This window comes from Homo sapiens, chromosome 3 (genome assembly GCF_000001405.40).
Source record: "Homo sapiens chromosome 3, GRCh38.p14 Primary Assembly".
Classification (NCBI taxonomy): Eukaryota; Metazoa; Chordata; class Mammalia; order Primates; family Hominidae; genus Homo; species Homo sapiens.
In genome coordinates this window covers 137036745-137056454 of record NC_000003.12, presented here as the reverse complement: position 1 = coordinate 137056454, position 19710 = coordinate 137036745, and positions in this window count along the sequence as shown.

The window sequence follows — 19710 nt, the reverse complement described above, 5'->3', positions numbered from 1 at the left end:
GTCAGACAAATAAGTCAGTCCATTTACAGTGATTATTGTTGATGTTAGGAACCCTGGTTTGGAGTCAGGAAACTTGATAGTCTGAATAGATTCTATCTTACCTCAAGTTTGACCTTTCTTGATGTTTCAAAATTCATGTGATTTTTGCATTCTACCTGATAATATATGCTTATTTGTTTTAATGTTCAAATAAAACTTTAAATAACTTGCCTTAGAGTATATTTAATTCTCTGGGAGAAGATGCTGTGTTTTCATCCTAAGGCTTTGTGTAACCCTAACACAATTTTATAGATACCTTATTTGAGACAGCCCTGGTGAAATGCAGATGAATTAATAGCCTGTAAGACTCTCTCCCTCCCACAGTTCTGTAAGAACATACGTTCTAACCAATAGCAAATCCCAAAGAGATTATGAGAGGCACAAGAGGAGTGCCTTGTCTTTGTAGACTCATACCACATGGCAACACAAGCCTAAAGAAAGGAAGGCTGGAGCCTCCAAGACAGCCATGAGGAGGAACCAAACCTAACTTGAACTCTGGTTCACTTGTGCTCCCTGTCCAGAGGTAGAACGATGTAGTGGTGAAAAATGCAGGTTTGGCCCCACAGACCAAGGATGACTCCTGTTTCTGCCACTTCCCAGCCACATGAGCCAGGGCAAACAAATATTAATTATTCTTTGGAAATCTAGCTTGAGAGTCAATCTTGTCATCCCCCAGGACCGTGGCTGACTTCTGCCTGGACAGAATGCATGAAGCAGCTAAGGATTCTAAAAGTAAAATGCTAGCAAACAGATTGGGGAAGGAAACCAGAACTCGAAGAACTAGAAAAAAAAATAGTGAGTTTCCTGGTTTTATCCCTCAATACCTCTGAGCCTAGATTCAAAGTTAATCTGAAACCTGAGCTGTACACTAGATGAGGATAGAAAGAACTCCAAGAGAAATGTCTAACTCCAACCTGAGGCCTAAGAAAGAAAGCCCCTATAGGTCAGAGAGAGTGGGAGAAATACCCTGGGTGGGTTGCTTTTCATTCAGTTTCTACCCCCAGGCAATATTCTTCCCTTACAACATGGGCAATGGGAGCAGTAACCAGGCAGGCACCTAAACTCCAAGAGTGGGGAAGCCCCCTCTCTCTGACCCAGGAACTGGGGTCTGCAGAGCATGGAGAGAATCCCCGTTGCTTTTTTTCTGTATGTGGTCGCTCGCCTGATGGCTCTGGATGCAGACACAGTCTCAGGAAATACATGGCAGAGTAGGGAAGCTAAAGCCCCAACTTCCTAGCGAGACCAGGAGGGGAAGACCTTGGGAACCAATAAATGTCAGGGACAGAAGACCCAATCCTCAGCTACAAGAACAAGTCCTGACAAGTCTAACTATAGCAATTCACTGAAGTCTCACTGGGCCTAACAGCAATTGGTTTAGGTACAAACAGGGAATGCAGTTCTAGCCAATGAGAAATGAAAGAAAGGCTCCCAGGGTGTGGAGTGGGGCGTAAGGCAGATTTAGGTAAGTGTTTTTTTTGCTTTGGAAAGGAGAGGGTAAGAGACAGTCCTGATAGTACGCATCATGTCTGTGGACTGGAGCCACAACAGCCATGCTGGGACCGTGATCAGAACTAGCAAAGGACCAAGCTGACCCTCTGATACTGGCAGAATGGAAAAACGAACAGAACCTGGAGCCACGGAGTTAACCAGCCTGGAGGTGCCCAACCATGACGTTTTTGTTATGAGAGACAATATATTTTTTCTGTTTTTTTGAGCCAATAGAGGCAGGACTTTCTAGAACTTGCAATCAGAAGTTACCTAAGAATAATACCTGCTAAGGTGCATACGAGGTAAAAAGTTCACTAGAGCAGGAACATAAGGTCAGATCCCCACCTGCCCAACCCAAACTTGACCTCACTTTATATTGTTTTAGGTCCCACCTCTGAAACCGGGAGTGTAGGAAGTCTTTCTCAAGGTTCAGAGGATGTATTCACTTCAGGGGAAAGAACAAAGACAGTATCTGGAACAAGGAATGAAGGGAGACCCTCTCTTCCATGACCAACCACAGATATTTGCAGCATCCTTATAATGTCTTCCTGGGCAGCCAACAGGCCCTACCACTGGTGCTAACCCAGGTGGAGAAATTGTGAGGTCAGCTCGCTAAGGGAAGCTAGAGACACCCCATGTGCTAAAAAGAAAATAATTTACTACATGGATTACTCAAGTAATGAGGCTTTAACCACTGTTTCATTTTCATCAAATAGATATTTGATAAATGTATAAATAAATAATTTTATAGGAAAAATAGCCCATGAATTTAAAATTCTCATCTATTTATATCCATCTACATTTTTTCCAGACTCTTCAAAGCACAGACACCATTTATATAAAATTTTAAGAGTGGTATTTTATTCTGCATTCTGCTTTGCTTTGCATTTAACATTGTGATGTATAGACATTTTTACATATGAGCACAATTCACGTATTTTTTCATTTTAGTGTTCACAGAGAATTCTGATACACTGTGGTTCACTTAACCATTCCCACTCACTGGGCATTTTGGTCACTTTCCATCTTCCCCTATTATGAACATCCTACCATACATAGCTCTCTATAATGGCTTTTTTAAAATTTGGATTATTACCTTAGGGTATATTCCCAAAAGTGGGATTATACAGTCAAAGGGTATGAATGTTTTCATATTCCTTATTGCAAACTGCCAGCTTGTACTTCAGGAAAATAGTAACAACTTACAGAACAGCCAGCCTTGTATGTGGATTTTATGTGCAGAATCTAATACAATGGGTTTTATTGATCTTATTTATTTTTATTAATTTAAAGTTGACACCTCATAGCTGTTCAAATTTGTATTTCTTTGTTATTCAGACTGAACATTTTTTCATGTTAATTACTATTTGTAAAAAATAAAGTCTGGGCATGGTGGCTCATGCCTGTAATCTCAGCACTTCGTGAGGCTGAGGCAGGAGGATTGCTTGAGCTCAGGCATTCAAGACCAGCCTGGTTAACATAGTGAGACCCTATCTCTACAAAAAATTTTGAATATTAGCCAGGAATGCTAATGTGGACACCTGTGGTTCCAGCTACTCTGGAGGCTGAAGCAGAAGGATTACTTGAGTCCAGGAGTTCAAGGTTACAGTGAGCTATGATCATGCCACTGCACTCCAGCCTGGGCAACAGACCAAGACCCCATTGGTTAATTAATTAATTAACTAGTTAATTAATTAAAATTTAAAAAGACATTTTAATAGGGCAAATCTATCCATTATGATAATATGACATTAATTGTAAAGGTGATACTAATGAAGATATCTTCCTTTCTTTATAGGTAAACAATATCTTCATTTCATTTGATAAATTATCAAGTAGAATTCAGGTCTCTTTATGGTTGATTCCTTATCTATTTTAGACTGTAAGCTTTATTCATAATAATTAAAATAATTTGCTAATTTTTTATGTCATTTAGTCTCTTTTCTCATGACCAAAAGTCATAACTCTTTTATAATTGATTTGATTCACTTTGTTTCTGATGATATATTCCATTGCTTTTTTTTTTTTTTTTGAGACAGAGTCTTGCTCTGTTGCCCAGGCTGAAGTACAATGGCACCATCTCGGCTCACTGCAACCTCCGCCTCCCAGGTTCAAACAGTTCTCCTGCCTCAGCCTCCCAAGTAGCTGAGATTACAGGCGCGTGCCACCATACCCAGCTAATTTTGTATTTTTAGTAGAGATGGGGTTTCACCATGTTGGCCAGCCTGGTCTCAAACACCTGGCCTCAAGTGATCCACCCATCTCAGCCTTCCAAAATGCTGGAATTACAGGTGTGAGCCACCACACCCAGCTGATATCTTCTTTTACTTTAAATATCACAAGTACATTTCTCCTCCATTGTAGTTATAAATATGCTATTTCATTCTCTTTTGATTTTATTATGGTTTGTTTTATGGCCATTTATGAGGTACACACCTGAGTTTGCAGGCAGTATTCAAACCATACTGCCTGGATTTCTGAAATACGTGGCTAAATTCTTCCTTTATAACATTAACTGAAAACAAAAGCATGCAGCCATTTAGTTCTGTGATTGGGATGTTGATGCAGAGCAGCTCAGAGGTCAGGGTGCTACAGTGCCATATGCATGATTTCCTACTAATCAGAAAGACCAAGTAGAAACATTTCAGAAGCATCATGAGATGAAGAAAATGCGCACATACACACACCCTTTTTTTAACTTTTATAAGCTCAGGGCTATATGCACAAGTTTGTTATATAGGTAAACTTGTGTCATGAGGTTGTTGTACAATTATTTCATCACCCAGGTATTAAGCCTAGACCCATTACTTATTTTCCCTGATTCTCTCCCTCCTCCCACCCTCCACTCTCCAATAGGCCCCAGTGCACACACACACTTTTAATGCATGTATTTCTGTATTATTTCTTACAACTGTGTATGAATCTAAATTAATTCAAAATAAATTTAATAGAAAAACTTTTTTTTTTCTTTTTTTTTTTTAGATGGAGTCTCACTCTGTCGCCCAGGCTGGAGTGCAGTGGTGTGATCTCTGCTCACCGCAAGCTCCGCCTCCCGGGTTCACGCCATTCTCCTGCCTCAGCCTCCCAAGTAGCTGGGACTACAGGCGCCCGCCACCACGCCTGGCTAATTTTTTGTATTTTTAGTAGAGACGGGGTTTCACTGTGTTAGCCAGATGGTCTCGATCTCCTGACCTCGGGATCCGCCCGCCTCAGCCTCCCAAAGTGCTGGGATTACAGGCGTGAGCCACCACGCCCAGCCGATATTTTCTTTTTAACGTAAGACTCCCAGTAAAAGTCTAGACTCTCAGTAAAAGTCTAGAAGCTTGGAGCATGGCTATGCTTTATCATCAATTCCCTGATACTTAAAGCAAGGGCCACCAAGTTGTGAAGTCTTTATCCTCAACCACCCATTATTTGAGGAATCAGTCTTCAAACACTGCAATGTTAAGGCCCAAGGCAGATTCCGAGGTACTGGTTTTTAGCCATATTACTAAGTATTTTTAAGGTCCGCAAGCAATCTTGCTTGAAGGTAGGGCATCAGCTGTCGAGGAAACAACTTATAACAGAGAAAATTAATATTTTTAAGCTAAAAGCTCCTTCCCATTGCTACAGGTGAAGTTTAATTTTTGAAGCTGGAAAACTGTCACTTCGGCAACCAAGTGGATTTTACGTCCTAGAGTTTAAGCAGGAATTTGTTCTTAGGCAGGTCTTCTCTTTCTTCAGGGAGGGCCCACTATGATGACCTTTTTAGTCATGCAGACAGAGATAAAGCAATTTCTTACTCCTTTTTCTGGGAACAACCATGAATCAGTCTATGCTTCTGACTGAGATGTTAAGTATTCTGCTCAGTAATGAAAATGTGGTTTCTGTTCCATCAGGATTGTGCCCTTGCAATTAAATTATTTTAAAATATAAATTTAAATTGTCCAGTCCCTAAAAAGTATTGCTTGTTCATAAGAGATATTTGATTATTCCCAGTAGATTGTGAGACCTGCCCATGCCAGGTGAAACATGAGGCCTGATTATCTGCTCACGGGGAGGAAAAAGAACCTGGGCTGGGCTTGGCAGGTGTTTCCTGGCCTGGCCAGTTGGGACCCCACACTCAAGGCTCTGCTCCTGCTGCCATTGCCACCTCTATCTCAGCAATCCCAGGACCCTGAAGCAGTCCAACCATTAAGAGAACAAGTGTGAGTTTGAACCCCAGTCTTACCACTGTACTCCTGTATGAACTTGGGCAACTCACTTTACTTCTCCTGTCTCAGTTTCTCATCTGCAAAATGGGGAAGATAATACCTACCAGAGGAGTGCTAGGAAAATGTGAGTTTCCTCCCCTGCCCCCATCCTGAATTGAAGGACTTTGCCATCCTATACATACAAACTGACCTCTAGTCAGTCAAAGCGGCTGATGAGCGGTAAAGAAAACCCCACCCACCCCTCCAATGGATACACCTGCAGAACCAGTTCTCTCCAGCAGCCATCTAGACGCTAACAAGTGTGGGGAGGGCCTGGCCCCACACCCTGGGTATAAAGATGTGGGCTGGGGATATTGCTGTGTACCTGGATCCCCCAGATTATATGGGAAATCTTCCTTCTGATCCACCCCTCCTCTCAGGTGCACAGAGTTGCAGCCTGTGCCAAGGCTGACCTTAGTCTTCCGCATATCCTGGCCGAGGAAGCATGAAAATGGCTGGAGGGCAAATAGCCTTTGCCCCATGGACCACCATCACTGAGCTTCCTGTTCAAGCCCTTGCTTAGTTAGCCTTCTTGGGCCAAGACCAGCACCCATGGGCTCTTCCCCCACATCCCTGGATCATCCCTCTGCTCCTTGAAAGAAATCTCCCTGCTCCCAGAGGCCCCTGCACTCCCCTAACACACATACACACATACACTGTATCTTGCCCACATCCCCTTCACCAGTTCTGTGTGTCAGTCCCCAGATTCTTCTCCCAAAGTGTGCTTTACTTCTAAGGGATCTCACCTTGCAGTCTTCAGAGGACAGCCCCTGGCCTGCTGGCACCTTTAACCAGAAACAGTAATAGACAGAAGTCCCTGGGAGTTTATGTCCCCGGGGCTGCCCAAAGTTAATGCATGAGTGGTGCAAGGGTATGAAAGCCAGCTCCTTTGCCTTGATGAAAGGCAAAAGAATGCACCAGAGTGTTCCAATGGCTCCTCAGACCAAGGCTGCAACTTCACCTACAATTGCATTCTTCCTCCTCTTTCTTGTCCTGCTTGTCCTTCTCCCTCACTGTCCTCCCCTAGGCACACTTCCTTAGCAAATCTCTTGCACACTCTCTCTCCTCTCAGGATCTGCTTCTGGGCAACCTGACCTGAGACACGACACTAGCTTGTCACACACTCTAATGAGACAGAGGCCCACTGGTGGAGCCCACTTAGCCATGTATGTGATCTCAGTTGTGTGTATGCACAAGCACATTTGTGTGAAAGGTAGTGTGAGAACAGGTGTATTGGTGTGTAAGTTTATAAGTGTATAGGTGTGTTGCTTGAGAATGAGTACATGCATATTCTGAAGGACCAGTGTGTTTGTCTGTATGTGTACATGTGTCCAGATGTGTTTAGGCATTTCTGTCTGTAAATGTGGATGTAGGTGAGGGGTGTGTGTACTACTATGTGTGCATGGAGGAAGTGGTGGGTGTGTGTGCACATGCACACACGCTTGTGTCTAGCTCCACTACTTGGGGGTCAAGGGCAGAGGTAACTTGAAGCATCATAACATCTCTGCAGTCAGCAGAACCCACAACCTTCTGATAGTCCAAGGAACAGCTGGATCCTGGGTCACATGAAATGCATTTCATTATAAACATGGCCCCATTTCTCAGTTAAGCAAACATCAGATCCACTTCCACACTGACACCTAAATGAAAGATTTAAAAAGGAAAGCCTGGGGTAAATGAAACCTGGCCACCTGGACTGAAGGCACCCTCTCCATTTGACTACTTCCGGCACACCCGGGTGCCTGGGAAGTAGCATCCCGGCTCCTACACAGAGGACTGGGGATATAATCTTCTACTTAGTTTTATAAACTTAGGCAAGTTGCTTCTCCTCTCTGTGCCTCTACTTTCTCATCCGAAAATGGAGATAATAATAGTGTTATTAGGTAATAAGTGTATACTTACTGTATTTATTTGCTAGGGCTGCCATAACAAAATACCACAAACTGGGTGGCTTAAACGGCAGATTCTTATTGTCTCACAGTGCTGGAGGCTAGAAGTCTGAGACCAAGGTGTTGACAACGTTGGTTTCTTCTGAGGGCCATGAGGGAAGGATCTGTTTTAGGCCTCCCCTTGGCTTGCAAATGGCCATCTTCTCTCCCTGTCTCTTCATATTGTCTTCTTTGTATGGATATGTGTCCAAATTTTCCTTTTTTGTAAGGACACCTGTGATATTGGATCAGAGCCCACCCTAATGGCCTCACTTGAACCTGATTACTTCAGTAAAGACCTTGTCTCCAAATAAGGTCACATTCTGAAGTACTGGGGGCTAGGACAGGGATGGGGACACAATCCAACCCTTAACACTTATTTATATGGTTTTATGGTTACTAAAATGAGTTAGTTTTTGTAAAGTACTTATATCATATACCTGACATATAGTAAGCCCTATAAATATTCTGCTATGATGGTAACAATGATGATTAATTGTAACGACTTCATAACTTTTGTGTCTTGTACTAAGAATTAAAATGGCTGCAAAGTGCTTGTAAGACAAAATATAAAAAGCCTTACAATACACAAAAGGTGAAAGAAAAGACAAAATCCAATTAGCTGGGCATGGTGGTGGGCACCTGTAATCCCAGCTACTTGGGAGGCTGAGGCAGGAGAATCGCTTGAACCCAGGAGGCAGAGGTTGCAGTGAGCCGAGATCATGCCACTCCACTCCAGCCTGGGCAACAGTGCAAGACTCTCAAAAAAAAAAAAGAAAGAAAGAAAGAAAAAGAAAAGAAAAGACAAAACCCATCTAAAAGCATTTACTCTCTGATTCTTGCAAGACCAATCTCCACCAATTTACGAAGTATTTGAGCCTCATTTGTACGAAGCAAAACTGAACATAGTTCAATTGTTTTAACAAATTGAACCATTGTTTTAACGAATGTTGCTACTATCACATCTGCAAGGTACACTTTCCCACAGATATACCACACTGCAGTTCGTGATAAATAAGTGAAACCAACCTGTCTGAAAATCATCAGCAAAGAGAGAAAATGGGGCCTTGCCTCAAGGAATCTCTTTTTTTCATTAACTCAGGGCTCTGAGATCACAGAACTTGAGAGAAAAGAGAGGAGATCTTTCAATGCATTGTTGAATATAAGGCTCAGGGGAGCTTCCAGGATAAATACTAAATTGTGAGTTTATATTGCATGAGCCAATCAGGAAGTCCTGTGTCCGCTGATGGTCAAAAGAAAATGGAAATGACTTCCTCTGGGACCCCTGGCAGGAATGCAAAGGCTAGGTTTGCTGAATGAACCTCACAATTGTGGCATCCAGCGGGAGACGCTGGAACTGAATTCCAGTGTGCTTCATCCCCAGCTCAGCTCCTAATCACTGACCAGCACCTCCAATTTGCCTGCAGACCTGGGGCAGCATCTGTTACCATAGGCTGGGCCGAAAGGTCACTGTGGCCTCAGCTTTCAAAGGGTTTGTTGAATATAAATGCAGTTGTTTAATGTAATGCAGTTACTACTGTAACTTGGAAATAGGTTAGGACTTGGAAAAATATTGCATCAGATGTATTCAGCTATAAGTAACAGAAATTTTAACTAACAGATTCAAATAAATGCTAGCATTTATTATTTGGTAACAAGAAGACAAGAGAAAGGCGATCTCAGAGTTGGCTTCACAGCCTAATGATGCTATATTTCCTATCTTTCTATGCTCCTGTCCTCCTCTTGTTGGTTTTTGGTCCTTATGCCTGCAGTGTCACAGTTGCAAGACGGCTGTCCCTGGTAGCACCACCTCCTCCCTTTGTCTCTTCATCCTAGGGGTGGGAGCAGCTTCCTTCGAGTGCTGACTTCTGGGTTGCCTCATGCACCATTTGTCTTCTCAGCTCTTCTATCACCTGCTTAATCAATTTCTTACACTAAATTCCTTCTGCTGCAATAACTGAAGTGGTTTTGTTTTCTCAGTTAAAACCTAACGGGCCACATGGTTCAAGCAAGAAATATCCTTAGGGAGCAATGCTTTAAAAGCACAGACCTAAGGGGAATATGGAGATAATTTTTGGAAGAAATTTTTAAAACTCAAAGTATGTAATGAGAAAAAGATATTGAAAATGAGACATAGTGATCCCATGAAAATGGTAGTACCTCTGACAGGTGAGAAGGTGGAAGACACAGCACTCCTTTAAGTTTGTTCTGTTCAAGGACATCGGCCAAGGGGGACACTGGGGGCCAAGTGCAGCCTATGCTTCACTGTATGCATGCTGCATGAGTCTATTCCCCCAAGGAAGGGGTGCCTGTATATAACTTGCACAAAAGTTACCCAAAGTTTTCTCCCAATTCCAATAGACTAGCATTGGCTCTGTATACAGTCACCAAAATTCACCCCAGGCAGTAGGAAAATAAAGGGGAACATGAAGAAAGAGCAATACAGCATAATACGAAGCCAACCTGAATGCTTAAGAACTTTGTTAAAGGTTTTTTGATTCGTTTGTTTGTTTGGGGATTTTGGGGGAGGTTGTTTGTTTGTTTTTGAGAAAGGGTCTTGGTCTGTCACCGAGGCTGGAGTGCAGTGGCGCGATCTTGGCCCACCACAACATTCACCTTTCCAGCTGAGGCAATCCTCCCTCCTCAACCTCCCATGTAGCTAGGACTACAGGCATGCACCGCCATGCCCAGCTAATTTTTGCAGGGATGGGGTTTCACCATGTTGCCCAGGATGGTCTCAAACTCCTGTACTCAAGTGATCCGCCCGCCTCAGCCTCCTGAAGTGCTGGGATTACAGGCATGAGCCATCACCCCCGGCCTGTTCAACCTTTTTTAATGTCCCAAGAACACAGAGGAAGGGATCTTTAAGAAGGAGGCTCCCTGACAAGGAGCATAAAATGTAGCGTGCCCATCCTCTGGAGTAGCAGAAAGAGGCAGTGGTCCTGCTGGAAGATGCTTAATTAGAAGGCAATTCCCACATTTTTGACAAGTGGCATGTTCCTCATGTGCTCTGGTCTGTATGTGTATGTCCCCCGAAATTCCTGTGTTGAAATTCTAACCCCAAGGGGACAGTATTAGGAGGTGGGCCTCATGGAAGGTGATTAGGTCATGAAGGAGAAGCCCTCATGAATGGAATTAGTGCCCTTATAAAAGAGGCCTAAGGGAGCTCCTTCACCCCTTCCCCATGTGAGGATACAGTGAGAAGCCTCCATCTGTGAATCAGCAAATGAACCCTCACAAGACACTGCATCTGCCAGCACCTTGATCTTGGACTTCCCAGCCTCCCAAGCCATGAGAAATATAGTTCTGTTGTTTATAAGCCATCCAGTTTATGGTTTTCGTTACGGCAGCCTGAACAGACTAAGACATCATAGCTGCAGCCTTCTTTTCTTTTCTATCTTTTTCTTTTTTCCCATCATTGGGGAGGGTGGTCATGGGACTTAGAAAGTTAAATGTGACCTCTGATGAGCTCAATAACCCCCCCACCCCCACAAAACAGCAAGACTCCAGATTCCCAGATAAACATAAAGTACACAAAGTTATTTCTGAGAGGCCTCAGCAGGGAGCCCACTGTGTACTCACAAGCTGGTCTATGGAACTGCCATCAAGCATCAGCCCCTCCTTCCTCTTTATCCTACATCTCATTTGTCCATATCCCCTACCCACAGAGCCATCTGCAGGAGCCTCACCCATGCCAGCCCCTCCGGGGAATTCCTCTATCCATGCCACAGACATTGATGGGTGCTCCCAAAGCCACCATCATCAGATGCTCCCTCGGTGCTGTGCCCCATGCAGAATGGGGAAATGACCTCCAGCTCTGGACCTTGCCTCACCCGACCCCAAAGCAGCTCTGACTGTACCCAGAGTCTCACCAAGCAGCTCCACCAACTCCTAGAACACTCTGCCCTCACCCTCTGGGCCTGGGCAACCTGGAGAAACCTGAGCACCAGTAGGAAACTCTGTGTCTCCCAGAGCATCCCCCGGCCCCTGCTCACAGGGCCTTGCACCCAGTCCATTCAGCTGAACCTTGAGCAATACCATGGATTCCATTCACCTATTCTCCTCTTCTCCTTTTCTACCCTCTCCTACCATTAAAAAAAAAAAAATCCCCTCTGCTCTTCCAATTCCAAAGTGAACACTCCCAGATTCTGATGTGTCTGACAGAGAGAAGCAGAGAGAACTTATCTACATCAGCAGCCAACAAAAGACCCTCTGGTATACTTGGCAGAAGGAGGGTGGTCTCGCCTTGGCAGCAGAGGGTATAAAAGGAGGGGCTAAGCATAGTTAAAAGAAATCCTGGCAGAGATGATGACTATCTCCTGCAGGATCTCCAGGCCCATAGGTTGTGCAGCAGCCTTGCCCTGGAACCCTGGGGACTTCCTGGCAGATCTGATGGGGCCTCTGTCTGGAGGACGGGGTGCACAGGTAGCCATCCAGCTCCCTCCCCTCTCTGCTCTCCTCCTTCCTCCCCTTGTCCTTTCTATATCCCTTTCTCTTCATCTTCACCTGCCTCTCCCTCCCACTCCCAGCCTCCAGGTCCCAGTTCTTCCTCTCCTTCCCTTCTAGTTCCCTTTCTCTCCAGCACTTATCTGCATGCTGCTGGAGGTAAAACAGAAAGGTCAGACAATGGTCCCACCCCTAGGGAGTCAGTGAGAAAAGAAGCAGTGCCCGAGCCAAGCAAAGGAATAGGACTGAGTCAAAAATGGCTTTGACCCCTCCCAAATGTTTCTTCTGCAGTCACCTACTAAGGCATTAAGGCACCCTTGGGGTAAGATATTGCTTGAGGAGAGAACTCTATGAGGCCTTCTGGATCGGTATAGAAGACGAAAGAAAGGCTTTGCAACCTCAGTGACACAACTGAAGTTATCTAATAAACAATAAGAAAGCAAAGAATTTTCTATGAGGGACTCATCTATTCTTCTTTAAATATTAAAATGTTCTATTTGATTATGTTTTTATAGAAAAGCCTTTTTACCATTTGACCCAGCCATCCCATTACTGGGTATATACCCAAAGGACTATAAATCATGCTGCTATAAAGACACATGCACACGTATGTTTATTGCGGCATTATTCACAATAGCAAAGACTTGGAACCAACCCAAATGTCCAACAATGATAGACTGGATTAAGAAAATGTGGCACATATACACCATGGAATACTATGCAGCCATAAAAAATGATGAGTTCATGTCCTTTGTAGGGACATGGATGAAATTGGAAATCATCATTCTCAGTAAACTATCGCAAGAACAAAAAACCAAACACCGCATATTCTCACTCATAGGTGGGAATTGAACAATGAGATCACATGGACACAGGAAGGGGAATATCACACTCTGGGGACTGTTGTGGGGTGCGGGGAGGGGGGAGGGATAGCATCGGGAGATATACCTAATGCTAGATGACGAGTTAGTGGGTGCAGCGCACCAGCATGGCACATGTATACATATGTAACTAACCTGCACAATGTGCACATGTACCCTAAAACTTGAAGTATAATAATAATAAAAATAATAATAATCATAAAAAAAAGAACTTAAAAAAAAAGAAAAAAAAGCTTCACATGATTTACTGACAAAAGTCCTATCAGATACAAGGCCTGAAACTATAAAGAAGACCACAAATACTGTAAATAGGAGTTTAAAAACTCATCTCCGCAAATGAGATAAACTTAAGTTTTATACACAAAGAGAAAAAGCTAGACAGGAGATTACTTCTTTGTAACCAGGAAAGGTTTATCCTAAGAATTCCTGAAATTGGACATACAGAAATGTTTCCCTTTTGTGGCCAGGAAAGACAGAGTCAGGTCTTCTGAGTGTATAAAGTCATTTTCTCCCTCATACAAGGTAAGGATTTGGGCTCCTAGGGAAAGCTACATGTGGCCCAATGGTATGAAATTTCCCATGCTGTCTAAATGCTGTTGGGATTAACTTTCTGGTTCATCCCAGAATGTTGGATGAAAGAGTTAATATCAAGCCAAGAAAGAGTTAAGAGACTGCCACTGCAGTCTGAGAGTGGTACCAAGGATAGGTGAGCAGAAGCTGCTTGGTTCTATGTTTTTATATTTCTTTAAATCCAAACATAGTCTTTCTAAAACAAATACATTTATAACAGTTAAACCTGTAATGGTGTTGGTTTTAGCAGAGCTTTGAAAACGTAAGCTAAATTCTCTTTCAGCTTCCCACAGCTATGGGAAGCCTAGCTGTCAGCTCCTGTGACCCATGGCGGGTACCTGAACTGAAAGCAGCCTCCTTAGGAGGATGCATAGAATTGCACAGCTCACCTAAGAGGTAACAGCAAATAGCACAACTCCTACCTAATCAATGCATGGGGTGGGGATCAAGAAAATGACTAATCAGACCAATGACTTAAACAAAGTAAAGGGGAAATGGATAACAGCACACATTTTCCTGTTGATATCCCATAGCTGCTGGATTAAGAATGATGGACAGGAGAACTACCTTCTGCCAATTAATTCCAGAGCATAATTTGTAGCCTGGGCCCATCCTGGACGATCCCGGGCTGCTAACAAACCATGACACTGCTTTAATTTCTCCTTTGCCCCCACACTCTATTAAAACCTAGAGTGGGTTCCATCAAATATCCCTTCAAGGAAAAAAAACAGAGAGTGAGAGAGAAATGGAGCAACATTTGTCTCAATACAATATGAAAGATTAGAGTTTGCTGGAAAAAGAGTGAGAAGGGAGGGGATAGGAATCTTGTGAAACACACACACGCACAGGGACACACACACACACACACACAATTTCTCTTTTTCAATGACCTCCTTATGCCCCATCCATCAGCCTGGGGTTGGCTTATTCTAACTAGCAGATTCCTTTATTCTGTATAACAGGCCCATCAGACACAATCTGCATGCCAATTACTGGCACAGACCCCTTGATACCAAAAAATGGAAATTAGCTGTCAAGAAAAGGCTTCAACCGGCCAGGTCTCTTTCTCGCTCTCTATTTCCAGCTCATATACACCCTCATTCTGCTCAGTGCCCGGTTCTCACCAGGGAGTCCCCAGTGGAAAAAGTCATCTAAAAATACAAACATATTTTATTGTTATTAGTATTAGTTGCTGACTTTCTCAGTACAATGTGAAATTCACCAGTGGGCAAAAGCTGCTTAGGGCAGAAATGGGTGAGAGAGGTTGATTTCTGATAATTGCATTTCTTTGGGAGCAGATCAAGGCGTCCCAAGAAAGGACATTCAAAGAAATGTGAGGATAAGGGCAAAAGAAAACAGACAAGGAATGAGATTCTGTAACCAAGATAACAATCAGAACTTTCACACTTAGGAATGGGCCTAGGCAGAGTTGAGGGGACAAAGGTGAGACAAGCTCCATGAACAAGCCTGCATTACTGCTTTGCATCCTAATCAGCTTTGATAAAGCCAGGCTGCAGCCAACTGGAGGGCTTCCTATGGACACAGAAACAGCGTGTTTTCAACCCAACCAAAGCATGCTACCTGCAAGATTTCTGTCCTGTTGCTCCCAGAATCTCCAAGAGTAAATTTTATTATATAGTTCCTCTTCTCTTTTTTTTCCAAAATGAATCACAAAGGAAGGGAGTTTATTTTTCCCCATCAAAGATCCAGGGTCCATGTTAAATCTCCTGTGGTAGGACAAAGAAATCCATACGGATCACCATGACTTCAGAGCGGTTCCCCAGAAGATTCAGGGCATCACCTTCATTCAGGGTCACACTCAACCCAATGCCCAAGTGGCCTTTTTCCTTAACATTTTTAGTAAGGGATATTCCTATGTCTTATTTTTTAATTGCTCGCAGATAAAAAATTGGGGTTGTATAGATTCATCCAATAACAATTCTTTTCATTAAGTATTTTCATTATCACACAACTCAAGACCTACTCAAAAATCTAGATTCCTTCACTGGCAACTGAAAAATATTTTTACTTCTAAAGTCTCTTCTGCCCATGCATTCTGAGAGCTAAAATTGTCAGGCAGGTAAATCTGGAGATTTTTAGATGCACACTTTTCAGAGCATGGTGTGTGTAAATAAATAGCTTAATTCAGCCAACGTATTTACTGACTACCTACTATGTGCCTGGTACCTACATGTGCAACAAAGATAGGTGAATAGAATGAATGAATGCTAGACCCTAAGCTGCAAATAGGTTGGTGAGTAAGACAGACAATACCCTGACCCTGAGAAGCTCTGGGTCAGATCTAGTTGAAATCCCTCACCTCTAATTTCTTGTTCCAGTATGTATTTTGTAGTTGGTATTACTAAACAAGTCTCCTTAGCTTCCCCTGGAGGGTGATTTACATGTCCCCTCACTCAAATGCTCTTGGTTTTGAGTTACTGAATTTCCAAAAAGATATTTATTTTCTCATCACCCCAAACTATTCTCGACATCGAAACAAAAGCAACATGGTTTAGGGTCTGATGGTGTGTAACACTTCTGACCACAGCCTCCCTTTGTTCCAAGGATGCTTCAGTATGTATTTCTAGTTTCCCTCCAAATTCTTGGGCTGATCCTTCTCATCCTTTTTTTTTTCTTTTTTTCTTTTTTTTTTTTTTTGAGACAGTCTCGCTCTGTCACCCAGTCTAGAGTGCAGTGATGTGATCTCTGCTCACTGCAACCTCCACCTCCCAGGTTCAAGTGATTCTACTGCCTCACCCTCCCAAGCTCCCAAGTAGCTGGGATTATAGGTATGTGCCACCATGCCCAGCTAATTTTTGTATTTTTAGTAGAGACAGGGTTTCACCATGTTGGCCAGGCTGGTCTCAAACTCATGACCTCAGGTGATCTGCCTGCCTCAGCCTCCCAAAGTGCTGGGATTACAGGCATGAGCCACTGCACCCCTCCTGATCCTTCTCATCCTCTTTTGAAGATTCTTTGTCCTGTCTTTAACTGTTGGTACTCATCAGTGTCTGTCCTGGGTTCTCCTTCTCACAGACTCAGGTTCTAGAACAACAGAGCAGGCAAGGAACATCAAAGCTGACTAACTCCCAACTTCCTGGATTGAGCAACTGGGCAAATAAAGATCATTCTAGTTGCCATCTTTGGATGCAAGGAACAAAAATGCATGCAAGCTAGCTTAAGTGAAAAAGGGGTTTTGTGAGCACACAAAGCCATGAAGGCTTCACAAAATGAAGGCTGCTCTAAGAAACAGACTCTCAGCTCCTCACCCTTGAGTGGCTCCTCAGCTTCTCTGATTACCTCTGCTCTCTTCTCATCTTCCCAGTGAGCCATCTCTGAGTGTTCCCTCTTCTCTAACTTTATCTGGCCCTTATTGACACCCCAGACAAAACTCTACCACAGCCTTTCTACTCCAGCGCCTACCATGAACTGAAAATTGTCTTGGTCATTTAGGACAGATTCCTCAGAGTAGAGATCTGATCAGTTCAATGGATCTTTTCTGAGCCAGGCCAAGGATCTCCCCCTAGAAGAGGTACATATGCCGGCACTTACCAGATATGACTAAGGGTAAGGTCACATGGCCTGCTGTCTACTCAGCAGGGGCTGTGAGTGGAGGAAGATTATCTGAGAAGGGAAGGTGAGTGAGGTGGGTGTCTCTAAATGTGCCAAATATGGCAGAATTCTTAAACAGACATACAGACTTATTCTACAAACATTCATTGTGAAAATGATAATACAAGGCAAGTGAAATGGGTTGAGGCTTAAACACCCTAACTTGGAGGGAAAAGAATGAAAAGGACCAGCAGAAGAAGCAGGAGTTCCCATCATTTTAGATATGATAATTTTGGGAGAAGAGAGTGTGAGAAGTGTATTAGCTTCCTATTGCTGCTTCCATTGCTGCAAATTACCACAAACTGAGTGGTTTAAAACAATGCAAACTTATTTTCTTACAGTCCTAAAGGTTAACAGTCTGAAATGGGTATTATGGGACTAAAAGTAAGGTATCGACAGAGCTGTGTTCTTCTTAGAGGCTCCAGGGGAAAATCAATTTTTACCTTTTCCAGTCTCCAGAAGCTGCCAGCATTCTTTGGCTCACAGCCTTACATCACCACCACCTCCGCTTCCATCATTCCATCTCCTTCTCTAAAACTCACTCTCCTGTCTCTCCCTTATGAGGATTCTTTGGACTGTGTTAGGATCACCATCTCAAGGTCCTTAACTTTATCACATCTGCAAAGTCTCTTTTGTCGCGTAAGGTAATATATTCACAGGTTCCAGTAGGTTGGGACACGGTCATCTTTGGTGGGTCATTATTCTGTCTTATCACAAGAACAATATTATGGTCATGCAGGTCAAACACTGCCAATAGTCTTGAGGAAAAGCCCCTGAGGTCTAGGCATTATAGTCTCATCTGTGTTCTTCAAAAACATATTTTCATAAAGTAGAAGGGGTGGAAGTTAAACGTCAAGAGATTAGGAATATACAGATGATAAAGAAAAGGAGGCAGAAATGTTGACCACTCCTTAGAAAAGTCCAGCCACGGAAGATGAGGAAAGGCCTACTGTCTGAGGGGTGATCAGGCCACAGGAGAATGAGGAATGACAGAGCCATTGAAATATGAAAGTTGGAGGTGACGAACACCCTGAGCATAGGGAGGCAGAAACAGGCCCGGCCTTGAGGGGTCCAGGCTTGAAGGCACCTTGGTAGATATGCCATGAAAGGGCCCCAAGAGGAAGAGGAGTTCAACATGGCTCAGTGTGTCCAGCTGAGGTTAGGTGTTGACTCAACCTGCATGACTTCCCTGAGCAGGCTCAGAGGCCTGGATAAGGAGCAGAGAAGACCAGCAGTGGAGATGGTTGGATCAGAGGCTTGACAGGATGGCTGAATGGAGGCTCTGGGAGGGGAGCAATGCTGAGCTGTTACAGAGAGTGACAGTAGAAAAGCTGAGCTGGCCGAGAAGCCAGGGAAGGCTTGGCAGCAAGAACTGAAGACAGGATGGCAGATAGCAGCCTTGATAAGGAACTAGGTAAGGGGCCCCATCAGCACTAGCTCCATGATTGCCTGCATGGAAGAATGGACAGCCAATCTATGGTCACAGCACTGCTGCTCCACTGGGTGAGAGGAAGAGTGTGGGGCTGCAGAAGAGGAAGCTGTGACCAGATGGGGGAGGCAGGAGGTGAACCGCATCGCATCCCTGACCATGTCACATCCCTATGGCACAGGGTTGCACAGGTGAAAGTTACAGGCTTTTCTTGGATGTTCTGTTTGCTAACCATAGCCTGGTGAGCCCCTGGCCATAAGGAGGAAGAGGACTCAAGGTCATCCCATCAGCTTCAACCTAGTTTTCTGTCACTATTTAGCTCAATAGGGTTTTTTGAGGGGATGAGAGAGGTTTTATAAAAACATCTTGAATGGCTAAATTCAAGTAAACCCTAAATATGGGTCTCCACTTGCCAAGAAAATGTTTATCCAGGCTTGTCAGACGGACACTGGCAGAAAGCACACCTCTCCCCAAGAGAAAAGAAAGATGTCACTGAAATTATCTTGGGCTCCATAGGTGACATTAGTACAGCCAGACTGCCGAGCATCAGGTGCCAATTTACATGTTAGCTTCTGTTGTGCTAAGTGGAAACCCTACCCTTGTTATGTCACTTATGTAGGTGAGAAAACTCCCCTGGCCACAGGGCCTGGCACGGGACTGCATGTGGGCCCAGGGGCCACTTTATCTACTGTGCAGGTAAATTCTTTGCTGTTTGGCTCTAGAGGAAAATGCATCTTACATAAGGTGCTGCTCCATAGATAAGTCTGTTGTTAATATGCCTTAGACTGCCTTTGCCATGGCTATTATCACGGATACATGCGACGTACATCTTTTTTATCGGTGTGCATTGTACTTGTGGTAAAAAAAATAAATAAAAAAGGAAAAGAGACCACAGGATGTCATCTGTTTTTTTTTTTTTAAAAAAAGGAGAAAAATGTCCACAGATTCAACCCATACCACATGTTATCCTTGATGTATAAAACTGGAACATCAACTATGCTTTAGTCAAATGTGTGGGTTTTTCAGAATGGAGTTTTCCATAGTTCAGGATGATTCAGCAGCACTTCTAGGCCATTAGGCCTGAG